General features: G+C 43.5%; 2 annotated features.

Moving 5' to 3' along the window:
- Positions 283–639: an enhancer, noted in NCBI's record as "KLF6-I DHS fragment used in reporter constructs". NCBI's record gives its function as "activates the minP promoter by reporter assays in K562 erythroleukemia cells {active_cell/tissue: K562}" and the evidence as "EXISTENCE:reporter gene assay evidence [ECO:0000049][PMID:23985037]".
- Positions 1,348–2,547: an enhancer, noted in NCBI's record as "BRD4-independent group 4 enhancer chr10:3894424-3895623 (GRCh37/hg19 assembly coordinates)". NCBI's record gives its function as "activates an origin of replication core promoter dependent on BRD2, P300/CBP, MED14 and CDK7 cofactors, and independent of BRD4, by STARR-seq in HCT116 cells {active_cell/tissue: HCT116}" and the evidence as "EXISTENCE:reporter gene assay evidence [ECO:0000049][PMID:35650434]".

Here is a 15,784-nt window from a genome sequence, read left to right on the forward strand (position 1 = left end):
GGAGGACTGAGAGGGCAAAAGTTCTTGCTTGGCGGGGCGTGGTGGCTGATGCCTGTAATACCAGCACTTTGGGAGGCCAGGGTGGGTGGATCACTTGAGCTCAGAAGTTCCAGATCAGCCCTGGAAAGTTGGTGAGACCCCATCTCTACAAAAATTAGCTGGGCGTGGTGGCATGTGCCTGTAGCCCCAGCTCCTAGGGAGGCTGAGGTGGGAGTATTGCCAGAGCCCAGAAGGTCACGGCTGCAGTAAGCCAAGATGGTGCCGCTGTACTCCAGTCCGGGTGACAGAGTGAGATCCTGTCTCCAAAAAAAAAAGATTAGAAAGTTATTGCTCAAGTGATATTTCCATGAAAGTACAACTTAGTGACAAATTACCCATTATTTGAACGCTACAACTTTCACAGAACAAGTTGGACAATGTGTATAGAAGCAAGTTTCTTAACAAACAAGCTATATTACTTAGGAGTAAGGAAGGGGAATGTGGCATCTCATTTCAGACTCTTAACTTCCTCTTTTGAGTCTGACACATCTTCTATATTTTCTTAAGGCCTCCCAGAAGCAAACAGGCAAGGCTGGAAAAAGGAAGTTAAATAGTGATTTGCTCAATTTGAAAGAAACATAACTTTTTCACATGATACCAAACGTTTCCCAAATGAAACACTCCCTACCCTGCCCCAGCATGCAACTTTCCAACTAAATCTGGCCCAAGTAAGTCGTCTCATCAGCTGGATTAAATATACTTTCTTCATCTTTGGCTGGGTCTTACCAAAATGAGTGATTCAACTTCTTAGGAGAGATTGCTGCAAGGGTTACACCAACAGATAAATATGGGAATTTCTTTCACACTTGCTCGTTTCAGACCAATAGCAGAGCTAGGTAAACAGTGATCTCATCTTCAGTCACACAGTTTTGCTGACATTACAAAGAAAGGTGTCAACACAGATTTAAGGTGGCTGTCAACTTACTGAGTCCATCATTTTGGCTTTTGAGTTTTTCACCATAGAGAGCTAACTGAGAAAAACGAAAAACTTTTTTTTCTACTTTTTTTTTAAACTAGAAAAGCAATGGCTGCTCCTTAAATATATGTAAAGAATAGAAAGAAGAGAGAAAGGTACTAATGTATCCCACCACCTATATGGAAACAGTATTCATATTTCTCCTTGATTCTGAAACATTTATGATCTTTGCAGGGAAATTTTTGGTATGTTTCAGGTAACTGTAGATGAGAGCTCTTTCTTTTCAATCAGTTCTGAGAACTTGATATCTTAAGTGGTTCTTTAAGTCCAAAATATTTCAGTTGAGTTAAACTTTAACCAACCTAGGTGATTAGTGTATATGCTCTAAAACCTTGCGGAACACTTTGTATCAACAAATAACACAAACCCTGAATTCCTGGAGCATGTATTATGTTTATATTCAAACATAACCCTGAAATGTGTTCTTACTCTAAGTATCTCAGACACATTCTTCTTATTTGAAAGCTTCGTGTATTACTCAACAACCTCTAACATATCTCAGCGATGTTAAAGACACATAGAGAAGAAATGACATCATGAAGCTGATTCTGTTCTTTCAGCTTTGTGTTTAGCTAATGCTGAACAGAGCGGTGAGTCATGCAGTCCTGTGACCAGCCAGGCGCTTTTCCAATCAGAGTCTGTTAAGATCTTTGACAACAGTACCTGTAGTTGTTTGAAGAGGAGGTTTCAGTAGTGACCTGTACCCTTGGTAATAACAGGCTTTATAGGTAACAAAATGTGTTCTCTGCCTACTGAATAACAAAACACCAATCATGAGATAACGCTTAGTAAAGCTGACTCATTTCCTCCTTTACAGATGAAAGGAGTTGTCCAAGAAATGACTATCTCAGAGGGAAATTTTCCTTCAGGTCATTACGTGAGTCTCTTTAAAGCATGGCGGACTGTAGCATTAGGTTTTCAGTTATTAGGTATATTAAAAAGTAAATTTTATTATGAAATAATATCATACATTTAAAGCCCGGTCCGGTTTTATCTTGAAATATGTGATAACTCCTGGTTTCAGATGCGATTCAGAAGAAATAGGTTGACTTGTATCATCAGGTGTCCAGAAGATTAAAATTTCTGTTTTATTAAAATGTGGAATTCACGTTTGTTTTCAGCCAAGCAAGGTTTGGTGATTCTGCAGCTGTCACCCTCAGCATCTCTGTAGGACAGCCTCTTGCCCCTCTTCACCCAGGTCTGCAGGAGGGTGGCAGCGTGGCTTGGGAAGGCTGGGTGGCGGGAGCTCAGAGGGGGTGCAGTGTTCCCACCACACAGCGGCGGCTCAACTGCCCAGGCTGTGGGGTTTCCAGCTGTGTCGTGTTGACTTGAACCGACTCAGCAGGCGGTGCCCTCCTGGAGCACCTGAAGCCTCCAGAGAAATATGATGGAAAACCAAGAGGCCTCCACCTCCCTGACTTGCTGCGACCTCCTGGGCTTTGCAGCCAGGCTGCTTTCGTGGATGCAGTCCTCGAAGCTAGTTTGGAAGACATTTATTTTTAAATATACAGGAAGCCAAATACGTTGAGAGAAAAGCCGCCTAATGCATTCCTCTGTTCATCTCCAAAGTCATAGCTGGTTTTCTAGACCCGATTTTCATCAGACTTTCCAAAGACAGAAAGAGTCTCCTCTACATAGGGCTTCCTTCTTTGCCTTCATCTGTAATGCGAGCCTTGCCCTAGGTTGCCTCTCTCTCTCCTTGCTCCGCCTGCTTCGGAATTCTCCTGTCATTTCAACAGTGGTACCAAGCTTTTTGTTGTTAGGAAATCACAAATTCTGAAACACACTCAACTGAGCAGATTTAAAAATAACCTAGGCTTCTCTACTATTTGGGTAAGGCCACTTGCTTGTTTGGGGTTGCTAATGGGAATAAGAGACTATGTGTGATTACCTCTAGAGCCTGCTTGTTTGCTCTGAGGAAAGTTTTATTGAAGAGCCACAGGCTGCGTTCCAGAACACTGGCCAAACACTTTGCACATGTGTGCTGTTGGGTCCTAGCACCGTCCACTCCACTCCTGGGAAAGGAATATGCCCTGGGGACGGAGATCTCCTTGCAGAATGCCTGTGTGGGCTGCATCTAATAAGGTTTTTTAGGAGTGGTTATGGCCCCCTGTTGGGTTCCTAATAAAAGCCCGTTATCATTTTTAGCTTCTGGAAATCCACAGGTCCCTAATTTTGTAAAAGGTGCTTTCCATGCCTTGCAGTCTGTTCTCCCAGGGAAATTTAATCTGAATACTATGTTGCAGGGTGGTGGTTGGGAGGTAATTGCTAATACATTGTGGGCCCAGAATAGACTGGTCACATTGTATTTCTCCCTTTTCACCCTAACAAATCAGAAACCGGATGATACTGTTTGTATTCGGAGTCTGAGAGTCTCAGCCTCGCCTTATCCTTCACCAGCCCGGACAGCAGCTAGGACTGAAGGTGCACGTGCCCATGTTTTCCTCCCAGCCACCCGGTTCCCCGCTCTGTCCCTCACTGATCTGTGCATAAACTGGGCAGGTCTACTTAGATCTGCTTTATACAGCAGGCTTTTATATAAGCGTTCATTTGAAAACCAAGAGATGTATAAAGGCTTTTTGGCTTTGTTTTGACATAGATAGGATCTCACTCTGTCACCTAGGTTGGAGTGCAGTGGTGGAATCACGGCTTACTGCAGCATTGACCTCCCAGGCTCAAGCGATTCTCTTGTCTCAGCCTCCCAGATAGCTGGGACTAAAGGTGCACACCACCACTCCCAGCTACATTTTTTTTTTTTTTTTTTAGTAGAGACAAGTTCTCACTATGTTGCCCAGGGTGGTCTCAAACTCCTAGCCTCAAGTGATCCTCCTGCCTCAGCCACCCAAAGCATTGGGATTACAGATGCCTGGAGCATAAATGCCTGTAGATATTGAAAAGGGAAAGGAATGTGAAGGAAGTACCCCAGAGGCTTGTGCAGCCTCACCTGGGCACTCAGAAGAGGCCTCTCAGGCAGGGAATGGACAAGGTGCACGAGCCAGCTCACATCCGTGGTTCCTCCTCGGGTTCATGGGAGCTCACCCATAAGGCATAGATTGGTTCATGATGGAGATCAGGAGTATTGTCTTGGTACCAAGTACCTTGGTGTCTGGCTGCTGTTTCGTACCATGTGGCCTCCAAGGCTGGTTGGGCTCTAGGACTCAGATGATCTGTGTGGTGCTGATGCTGAGGCTTCTTTTTCTCCAGAGCCACCTACATTTAAAGTCGGAGAGGCTGATAACTACAACTGCCATTTATGACCTGCTGAGCAGTGTGCTACACAACTTCTAGCATCATTGCCTTGAGTTCTCGTAGCAACCTTCTGATAAAGAGAGTCTATTCTTTAACAGATGAGAAAAGCTATATGAGCTGGTGAACTAGGGTGATTTGACCAGATTCACACAGCCAGAGACTAGCAAGTCAGAACCCAGTCTCCTGGGTCTTAGTGTCTTAATCGGTTTGGGCTGTTATAACAAAATACCTGAGACAGGTGGCTTAAACAACAGACAGTTGTTTCTCCCACTTCTGAAACTGGAAATCTGAGAACAGGGTACCAGTGTGGTGGGTTTTGGGTGAGGACTCTGCTCCTGGCTTGGGGATGGCTGCTTTCCCACTGTGTTCTCACGGGGCGCAGAGAGAGGAAGCAAAGCCTCCTGCGGTTCCTCTAGAATCCCATCTCAAGGCTGCCATTCTCCTGACCTCATCTAAACCTTCCCCCTACCAAAGCCTGAACCTCCTAATACATCACCTCAGGAGTTAGGGCTTCGGCATATGCCTTTGGCCCACGGGGGTTGGGGACAAACATTTAGTCCATAGCACTTGGATTTGCAATCCATGCCTTAACCGTAGACATTCACAGCTTTCTCGGCATAGAAAATCTCAATATGATCTGACAAACACCATCATGAGGCCAGCATAGCTTCCCCATGCGAGAGGACGGAGGTAGGCAGGTGAGCTGTAACTGCCCAAACAAGGCCTCACCTTTTGGTTAACGTGTTGATGGTATTCACTTTCCCTCGAGCCTCACACTTGAGGTTCAAGAGCTTGTTCTCAGCCTGGTGAGGTAGCTCATGCCTGTAATCCTAGCACTTGGGGAGGTCAAGGTGGGAGGATCACTTGAGGTCAGGAGTTTGCAACCTGCCTATGGGCCACATAGCAAGACCCCGTCTCCACAAAATTAAAAATTTTAAAAAGTTAGCTAGGTACAGTGGTGCTCACCTGTGACCCCTGCTGCTGGGGAGGTTGAGGTGGGAGGATCTCTTGCCCCCAGGAGGTCAAGGCTGCAGTGAGCTATGATGGCACCACTGTACTCCAGCCTGGGTGACAGAGTGAGACTGCATCTAAAAAATAAAAAAAGTTTGTTCTCTTCCTCTCGACCTAAATACTTTCTTCTTTTCAAAAACCAAGAAGACTTTCCCCTTCGCCCTCTCAGTGATGCCCCGATATGTCCCTTCTGTTGGGTGTTCCCAGGCGCTGCGCTGCTTCTGCCCTCCCTGTCTCAGGCTGGTCTGGGCTCTGCCTCCAACCTTTCCTCCCTCCAGCCATGCTCTCCCTTCTCCGGTGCTCAAGACTTCTGCACACAATGACCCGGTCAGTCTTAAAATGCTGCTTCAAAAATGTCACTTAGCGAAAGTCTTCCCACTCATCTTAGTCTATTCCAATCTCATTGACTCTTTCACCTATCATTTTATTCAACAAATGTCTAAGAACACATTTAGGCGCCGGTGTTTCATTGCCAAGCAACATGAGCGTGTGTCTGCCTGAACACATCATTTTAGTTGAACATGCAAAGTCATTTTCAATACAAGAGCAAAATATGATCTCTCTAAGAGACAAAGAATCAGAAAGTACTTAGGCACATGCACGTTTCTGCCCTCATTCATTCTCCAACCAAACAGCAGTTAGTGAGCACCTACTGTGTGCAGAGCAATATGTTCTATGCACCAGGATTACAACATGAGTAAACAAACAAAATCTCCGCTCTCTTGAGTTTGGATTTTAGTGCGGAGCTGAAGGGAAGAAACCATTTCAGTTTAATGTATATGCGAGCTATATAGGAGATCCCTTATGTAGAGTAATTTTAAAATAAGTAACAATAACAGAGAAGTCATTTCTAGTAGCTCTTGACTAACAAGCAGTCTTTTGAAATTGTGTGTGTGTGTGAAGTCTTAAAGATTTTAGCCCCTATTTGTTTATTTATTTATTTATTTATTGCTATTTTTAGTTGTTTGAATGCAAAGCAAAGGTGTGGAGTGCATGGGAACACATTTTAGGGGTGCTGCAGCTGGAAGTCAGCCTCTGAGGGTCTCCTGCAAGGCTCATGCTTGGACGTGAGCAGTGGCCTCCGAGGGCCTGGACCTTACACAGCCTGAGTGATACCGGCCCAGCTCTTGCCAAGCTTCCTCTAGACAATACAGCCTGCTATGGACTGAATCACGTCCCCTCAAATCCAAATATTGAAGTCCTAACCCCAAATGTGACTGTATTTGGAGATAGGGCATTTAAGGAGGTCATTCAGATTAAATGATGTCATAAGGTCGGGCCCCTAATCCAATAGGACGGGTGTCCTTACAAGAACAGGAAGAAGACCAGAGATCGCTTTCTCTCCCATGCCCACAAAGGGAAGGCCATGTGAGGACACTGAGAAGGTGGCCCTTTGAACCCGAGGGGAGAGGCCTTGTCAGACATCAACCCTGCTGGCACCTCAATCTTGGACTTTCCGTCTCCAGAGCTGAGAGGAAATGCATTTTTCTTTTTGTTGAAGCACCCAGGCTGCGGTGTTCTGTTTCAGCAGCCTGAGCTGCTGAAGAAGGGGCCGTTTCAAGTACCTGATCCACCTGCCTTGGCCTCCCAAAGCGCGGAGGTTTCAGGGATGTGCCGCCATGCCCAGCCTATTTTCTTTTATTTTTTGTAGAGACAGGGACTCACTATGTTGCCCCTGCTGGTCTTGAACTTCAGGGCTCAAGCAATCTTCCCACCTTGGTCTCCCAAATTGCCAGGTGTGAGCCACCATGCCCAGCCAGGCAAGGTTCTTAATGTCTACGAGCCACAGTTTCCTTATTTGTAAATATAAGGTTGCACTTTGTTAGATTACTACGTGATCTGAAGGTATGTTTCTCTCCAAAATTCATATTTTGGAAGCTAATGCCCATGAAGATTAAGAGTGGGGTTTTTGGGAAGTGATGAAGCCGTGAAGGTGAAGTGCCCATGAATGGGGTTAGTGGCCCGACAAAAGGGCTTGAGGGAGGGTGTTTGCCTCTCCCACCACAAGAAGATACAGAGAAGGCACCATCTATGAGAAACAGGACCTGACCTGCTCAAAAATCTGCTGCCTCTTTGATCTGTCCAGCCTCCAGGACTGTGAGCAATGCATTTCTGTTGTTCATAAATTGCCTAATCGTCTGAAGTACTTTGTTATAGAAGCCCCAATAGATGAAGACACTCCAAGAATAGCCCTGCTCAACTCTCATTTGCTGTGTATTTCTTGTCTACATTGAATCTGGACTTGGCCAGTGGGACTTTGGAGCACATGATGCAAACACAGCGCAGCCAGCAGGATGCAAGCATTGTTCAAGGGAGGGAGCACAAGACCCCAGAGCTTGGCCGCTTGGGACACAGCTGTGAGCCTCCATTCTGCAAAGAAGCTTGGAGAGAAAGGCCTTGCAAAGAAGAGGAACAGCATCCGCTATGCCCGATGCACTCAGTGTGCAGGTGAGCCCTTCGTCCTGCCAGCCAGCACACTGACTGCAGCTGCAGTGTGAGCCCAGGCTTCACACACAGGTCTAAGCAGAAAACTCACAGGTGTGTGGAAAATAACCAGGCATTGTTGGTTTAAGCTGCTAACGTTGGGGCATGCCATGTTGGCCAGGCTGATCTCCAACTCCTGCCCACCCGGGCCATCCTAACTAGGCTGGCCAAAGAAGCCCACCGCCAGTCATATCATACCGCCATTCAGCGAAAGTCCCCTTCAATGCCCCTCGGTGATGTGTCTCTTCTCCAGCAACTACGACAGCCAGGCAGGGAGCTGAGCACTTCACAGACATTATCTAATTTTATTTAAAAAAAAAAAATTCTGCTGAAGGCTAAAAAAAAATCAGATAATGTCTATGAAGGATCTCACTCTGTCACCCAGGCTGGGGTGCAGTGGTGTGATTCTAGCTCACTGCAGCCTCAACTTTCCTGGCTCAGGGGATCCTCCCACCTCAGCCTCTCCAGTAGCTGGGACTACAGGCATTCGCCACCACCTTCTGCTAATTTATTATTATTATTATTATTATTATTATTGTTAGTATAGATGGAGTCTTGCTATTTTACTCAGACTAGTCTCAAACTCCTGGGCTCAAGAGATCCACCCACCTTGGCCTCCCAGAATGCTAGGATTACAGGTGTGGGCCACCACCACACCTGGTCTGACATTATTTAATTTAATCCTTCTGCTAAAGTAAGAGTTATCCTCATTTTCACTCAATCCCATTATCTCATTTGTTTTTCCTAATTTAACCCAATTTTCACACTAAGGTCAATATTATCCGTCTCATTTTACCGAAGCTCCAAGAGGCTTAGAAGCCCATTTAGTGCTCTATTAAACATAGCAGAGCCTGGATTTGAACTCAGTTTTGTTGAATGCCAAAAGTATTTGGGCTGTAAAGTTGCAGAGATGAAGACAGCCTTTAAAGCAACTCCTAGTCTTATTCCTCCTGTTCTTTAAGACGTTTCAAAACATCTTATAGTTCAGAGAGCAAGAACAAAACTTCCTTCACAAAATTCTCACCAATTTTGCCAAGAATTTATAGTAGAAATAATACTGAATTCATTAAAAATAATTGCACGTATTGGAGTGTTTTTAAGGCACTAAAATGCATACATTTGTATTTGGCCTTTCCAGAAGCTACTTAAGATAAATACCTGCTTTTATGTTTTTCAAAAGTTAATATATATACATTTATACAAATGAATATATTTATACATATATAATAAATATATATAATTTAAACATTATAACAAATACATGTAAATATATTCATTATAATATAAATATGTTTATATATTATATATTTATATATTATAATATATAAAAATACCTATATATTATAATATATATAAATACCTATATATTTATATATGTATAACTATATGGTTTATATAAATATGTAAAATATATAAAAATAGGCCGGGCGCGGTGGCTCACGCCTGTAATTCCAGCACTTTGGGAGGCCAACGTGGGCGGATCACAAGGTCAGCAGATCAAGATCATCTTGACTAACACGGTGAAACCCCGTCTCTACTAAAAATACAAAAAATTAGCCAGGCGTGGTGGCGGGTGCCTGTAGTCCCAGCTACTCGGGAGGTTGAGGCAGGAGAATGGCGTGAACCTGGGAGGCGGAGCTTGCAGTGAGTGGAGATTGCGCCACTGCACTCCAGCCTGGACGACAGAGCGAGACTCCATCTCAATATATATATATATATTTAATTTTATATAAATACATAAAATTTATTATATATACTTTTTATATCTGTAAAAATATATGTAAATGTATGTACAGATACATATATATTTCTGGCTCTCTTGCTCTTAGGTTAAGAAGCATTTCCAAATGGTCATTAGAAATGATTGTTTTCCTGTGTTGAGGTTTCACTGAGTGCAGAGAAGAGGAAAGACATGTTAAGCCGATAACACATCACTATGCTTGTCACATTACACACAGATAAGAGCAAAGTTTTATACATTAATTCAAGTGGCTATTTTTCACAATTTTCCACTGCTGTATGTCATGGTAAAACAAACTATTTAGGTTAAAATCTTGTTTTGATCCTAGCTGTCTGAACTCTGTCCTACCACTTCATTTCCATGGGCAAATAAGAACCACAGAGTATTTTCTGCTTTCATTGGAGGACTCAAAACTGTCATCCAAAAAATTAGTAATACAGTAAATAATACAATACCAGTTACAATGGATTGAAGTCATGGCATAGTTCATTCTGCCAAAGGTTAAATTTATATTATAGGTCGCATGATATCTTTTGCCTAAATCTTCGAACACGTTGAGAAGATTCCAGAATATTTGACTCGTAGGTCAAGGGTGGGTCCCTTGCTCAAAACAGTTTGGAGACTCCTTTTGGGTGCCCCTCAGAGTCCTCCCAGCCTGTGGGTCTGTGCTATGATCACCTCCGTCTGAGGCACTCTCTTTGGCTCATTCGTACTGGGAGCTGGTGATTAATCTGGGGAATGTTGATTCTGATAAAAACAACAACATAGAAGTGTGATTCTAAAGTCATGCGCCTGACTATCTTGTGTAATGAATTCAATCTGAAAACATTTCCAAAAGAGGAATTTCCTGATTCCTTTTCAGTACATTTTTTAATTTTTAAACTGTGTGACTGTATTACTCAGCCAGTTAAAAAATTAACGTAAAACCAAAACAAGTACATTTTTTGGATTATATATAAATCTCTCTCTCTCTCTCTCTCTCTCACACACACACACACACACACACACACACACAGATGACTTTACATGATTGCAGGGGAAATACAATGCATAATGTCTAGTATGCTTATTATTATTTTTATTATTTGAGACTGGGTCTCGCTCTGTTACTCAGGCTGGAGTGCAGTGGCACAATCTCGGCTCACTGCCACCTCCTCCTCCCGGGTTCAAGCGATTCTCCTCCCTCAGCTTCCTGAGTAGCTGGGATTACAGGCGCGTATCACCACGCCTGGCTAATTTCTGTATTTTTGGTAGAGACGGTGTTTCACTATGTTGGCCAGGCTGGTCTCGAACTCCTGACCTCAGGTGATCCACCCGCCTCGGCCTCCCAAAGTGCTCGGATTACAGGTGTGAGCCCCCGCGCCCAGCCCTTGTTATTATTTTTGACAACACTCTGCGACTTCGTTGTCCCTGGCCTGGCAACCCATTCAGGATATGCCCATCTCTGCTGGTGAACATGAACTCTCACTGCATGGAAACTGGACTGAGTCCCCGCTGTCCTGAGCACTTTGCACCACAGTGCGAGTCAGCGATCACACTCTGTTCCTGACAGTTGTGTCTCCGTCGTCACCGTCGTCACAGGCGTCCGGGCCCTTACAACGAGTCCAGCGGTTTCTTCCTGCTGCCTCAGCTGATCTCCCCCACTGGCCACATTCCATCTGGGCATGGTGACAGCATGTCCCCTGGGGCCAATGCGACCACAGCCTCATGAGCTGCCCTCAGCGCTCCTGGGGGTTCCTGCTGCGGCATTCTTCTGTCACCATTATCCGCATCATTTCCAGTAGAGGATTTCCAGTGTTTTCCTTGCTCTTTCCACAATATCTCACTCAACACTGCTGGCCATTGGAGGCTGCTGTCTGCCTTGCTCATAGGAGAACCCCAGGAGTAATTCTGCACCCTTTTGTCACTTCTGAGGGGCATCAGCAAATGGCCATCAGGTGACCCTAACTTCAAGGGCCCAGAGTCCCTCCAGCCTGGCAGGTTGTACGCAGGCAGCTCTGGTGCTAGCATCCCTGGATATCACTCATTGCCACCTCAAGGGACTGGGTCTTTATTTTTTTACTTTTTAAAAAATACAATGTTAATACAATTTGTCACTATTCTCTAAGGAGCACTTATTACATTGGGATTTTAGTATGTTTTACAAATTTATTTGTTACAATGGCATGCAATACCTTGGTTTTAAAACCTTATTTCCTAGGTCTTTTGAGAGCCAGCTATAACCTGAGATTATTTTCATAATGGACTCCTTCTATAATGTACTTCTTAAAAGCTCAATGGTACTTATCACTTCATTTTGCACATCGAATGACATTTTAGCTCAGTATTAATAACCCAACATTATAATAAAAATAATAATAGTAAGGATTTAAAAATCCATTACAAATCTCCTTAAACCCAGGTGAACTCATTAACTCTTAGATAAAAGAAATTGAAATAAAAAAACCCAGAAGTACTTTATTTTGTTTTACCTAATATAATGATTTTGAAAGAGTGAGAAGTAGAAGACAGTTCTCTCTACTTCAGATCTCATGTTCTGCCCTGGCACTGTGGCTCATGCTTGTAATCCCAGCACTTTGGGAGGCCGAGGTGGGTGGATCCCTAGAGGTCAGGAGTTCGAGACCAGCCTGGTCAACATGGTGAAATCTTGTCTCTACAAAAAGAAAAAAAGTGGTTGAGTGTGGTGGCACACACTTGTAATCTGTGCTACTTGGGAGGCTGAGGCACAAGAATCACTTGAACTTGGGAGGTTCGAGGCTGCAGTGAGCCAAGATTGTGCCACTGTACTCCAGCCTGGGTGACAGAGCAAGATCCTGTCTCGGAAAAAAACAAAACAAAACAAAACAAAACAAAAGTAGTGTTCAGTTTGCTAGACTTGCCAGTTAAAATAGGCTGTTAGATTGAAAAACAAAAGCAAACAAGCACTCCTACTATCTTGCTGAGTTATTTTATTTTATTTTATTTTATTTTTGAGACGGAGTTTCGCTCTTTCGCCCAGGCTGGAGTGCAGTGGCATGATCTCATCTCACTGCAAACTCCACGTTCTGGTTTCAAGCGATTCTCCTACCTCAGCCTTTTGAGTAGCTGGGATTACAGGCTCCCACCACCATGCTTGGCTAATTTTTGTATTTTTAGTAGAGACAGAGTTTCACCATGTTGGTCAGGCTGGTCTTGAACTCCCGACCTCCAGTGATCCGCCCGCCTTGGCTTCCCAAAGTGCTGGGATTACATGTGTGAGCCACTGCGCCCACCTGCTGAGTCATTTTATAAATGAGAAGGTAAAGCCTGTGATTTCTGCCTTTGTCATCTTGAAGGAGGTGGAATGAAGAGAAACAAGAAAATGGGATCATCAAGTCAAAATCATGCAAACAAAATCACACACACACGAGTTGGGCTTTTCAAACAATTACAGCCTGTTAAAATCCATGTAAATGTAGGCAGGCTGGGCATGGTGGCTCACACCTGTAACCCCAGCATTTTGGAAGGCCAAAGTGGGGGAATCCCTTGAGCCTAGGGGTTCTGAAAACAGAGCCAGAACGTGTCTCTGCAAATAAATTTGAAAATTAGCCAGATATGGTGGCATGCACCTGTGGTCCCCACTCCTCAGAAGGCTGAGACAGGAGGTTCCTTTTACCTAAGGATGTTGAGGCTGCAGTGAGCTATGATTGCCACTGCACTCCAGCCTGGGTGAGAGAGTGAGATCCTGTCTCAAAAAATAAAATAAAAATAAAAATAAATAAAATGTTGGCATATTGGTCAGTGAGGCCTTTGTAAGTGCAAGTGGAGCCATTTGCAGGATTTGGGGGCATCCTCTAGGCACACAGACGTCATTAGGTGTTATGGGTTGAATTGGGTCAAATTCATATGTTGATGCCCTAAACCTCAGTACCTAAGGATGAGACCTCATTTGGAGACTGGGTCTTTACAGATGTGATTGATGTAGGATGAGGTCCTCCAGTGCCCCAATGCAGCATGACTGATAGCCCTATGGAAATGGCGATTAGGACACAGGCACACGCCCAGGTGAACATGAAGACAGAGATCGGGATGATGTTTCTACACACCAAGGAAGGAAAACTGAGGACCAGCAACCGCCAGAAGTGAAGAGAGGCCTGGAACAGGTTCTTCCTCATGGCCTCAGGAGGAAACAACCCGACGACAACTTTGTCTGGGACTTCCAGCCTCCAGAACTTGAGACAGTCCATTTCTGTTATTGTGACACCCTGTCTGTGGCACTTTGTTATGGCAGCGTAGGAAATGAATCCACTAGCCATACAGTGACTCCAAACCACTAAGAAACAACCCAGTCCCCGCAAGAACTTCCAGGGACATGTATAGTGTGTGATGCCCATGATGTCTGCAGTGATAACAGAAGGCAAATCGTCAGCGGAAGGCCACAGGAATAACTCAAACAGTAAGTCATCTCAGGATGCAGATCACAGGGGACAAATAGAGAATAAGCCCTCCCAGAAGAGTCCCACAGGCTGAATGGGTGTGTGGGGGGCAGGGAAGGACAGCCCCATAAAATGGTATTGGAGATGGAAGTGGAGCAAGACCACACCTCTGAGTTGGCAAAGCCCATGGTTCTCACAGGCAAGAGAAAGAGACTTGGGCTTCAGGGAAACATAAGCCCAGGGATAGCAGCAGACACACCTGGGGAGGTGAAGTGCATATATATATACATATATATATGGTGGTGCATGCCTGTAATCCCAGCTACTCGGGAGGCTGAGAAAGGAGAATTGATTGAACCTGGGAGGCGGAGACTGTAGTGAGCCGAGATCGTGCCACTGCACTCCAGCCTGGGTGACAGAGCGAGACTTCATCTAAAAAAAAAAAAAAAAAAAAAATTCCAGGAGGATGTACATCTACTACTCTACTATATATCCTACTTGAAATAACAGAAAAGCAAAATGCAAAATTTTATTTTGTGACCTCCATAGAACTCTAAAAGGAGTATAAAAATGTATAAGCAGCTTGTATAAAATACTCATGATCATGGGAAACTGCTTCTTGCATAGTTGTGACTTCAGTATTTCAAATTATTAAAGAATATTCAATTTTATTCATAAAGATGAAAACAGTTTATTACCATTTATAGAATTTAACACACATATTTTCAACATTCAATCACAAGTAGTGTAAGTCAATTGTATTTAATAGCTAATTGACTTAGATTTCCTTTAAATATAGCTTTTACCTCCTTTTGAGAGCTTTCCTTGTTAACTAATTTTCTGTCGGTAGGCATAACCACTTGCTCATGTATGCTACAGCATATTAGAGTCAATATCATTCTTTCAACCATTCATTCAAGTCTAATTTTACTGTGCAGAGCATAGCATTACCGTAAGCTTATTTTCCACAGAGGAAATTCCCAATATGTAACTTAAAATATAAAAGTTGGTGTGATGAGGCCATAGTGTACAACCACAGTGGAAATTTGACTCATCCTGAGACTTTTTGAAGTTGCAATGTGCAACTAGAAATAATTAATGATCTCTAATACTTCTCACGGTTTCTATTTGGATGTTCTACAATTGTGAAGGATACTATGAATAATTCACCATTCCTTTAACCTCTTGGTCTGCTGTAACCAAATGATTCCTGGGATGGCAGTTTTGCTGGTCTACAGAATAATTATGAAATAATAATATTTCACCCATCTCTCTCTCTCTGTACCAAAAAAGAATATAAGAGCTTTATCTAGGTTGTGTGCTTATAAGGATACCAGTTTTTTACTTTCACATATTGAATTAACAATTACCAGTGAGTAGTTCTAATATGTTATTATAGTAGTGAAAATATAGATAGAGAACTCTATGTTAAATTTAAAAATGATCATTTCAGTGATTAGCTAGAGATCTGATAAAGTGGATCTTTAAGTTAATAAACCTGATATACTACAAGCCGTATGAGACATCCTGCTTAGCAGACTCTGGCAAACTGTTACTGGTTTAACATTGTTTTCTCCCAGGACATTCACCTTTTTGGTAATTTACACTTAAGCTATTCCCACTTGTCTGCAGTTCAGCAGAAACATACGTCTTGGCACAAATGAAAGAGTGACACCATCTCTCACAAGGACCACACTGTTGCTCATCATGTTTCCCAGAAATATGTGACATATGTTGGAGACCAAATAGAAGCAGTTCCTCAACACTTGTTTCAGGTTGTCAGAGAACTCGACCAGCAGCAAAGACAGCAAGTATTCCAGACCACCATGCAAATAATGTTCTGAAAAGAAGTCGTATTAGTCTGGTTCAAGAACAGTTTTAGCTGGTTAT

The sequence above is a fragment of the Homo sapiens genome, chromosome 10, assembly GCF_000001405.40.
Source record: "Homo sapiens chromosome 10, GRCh38.p14 Primary Assembly".
NCBI lineage: Eukaryota > Metazoa > Chordata > Mammalia > Primates > Hominidae > Homo > Homo sapiens.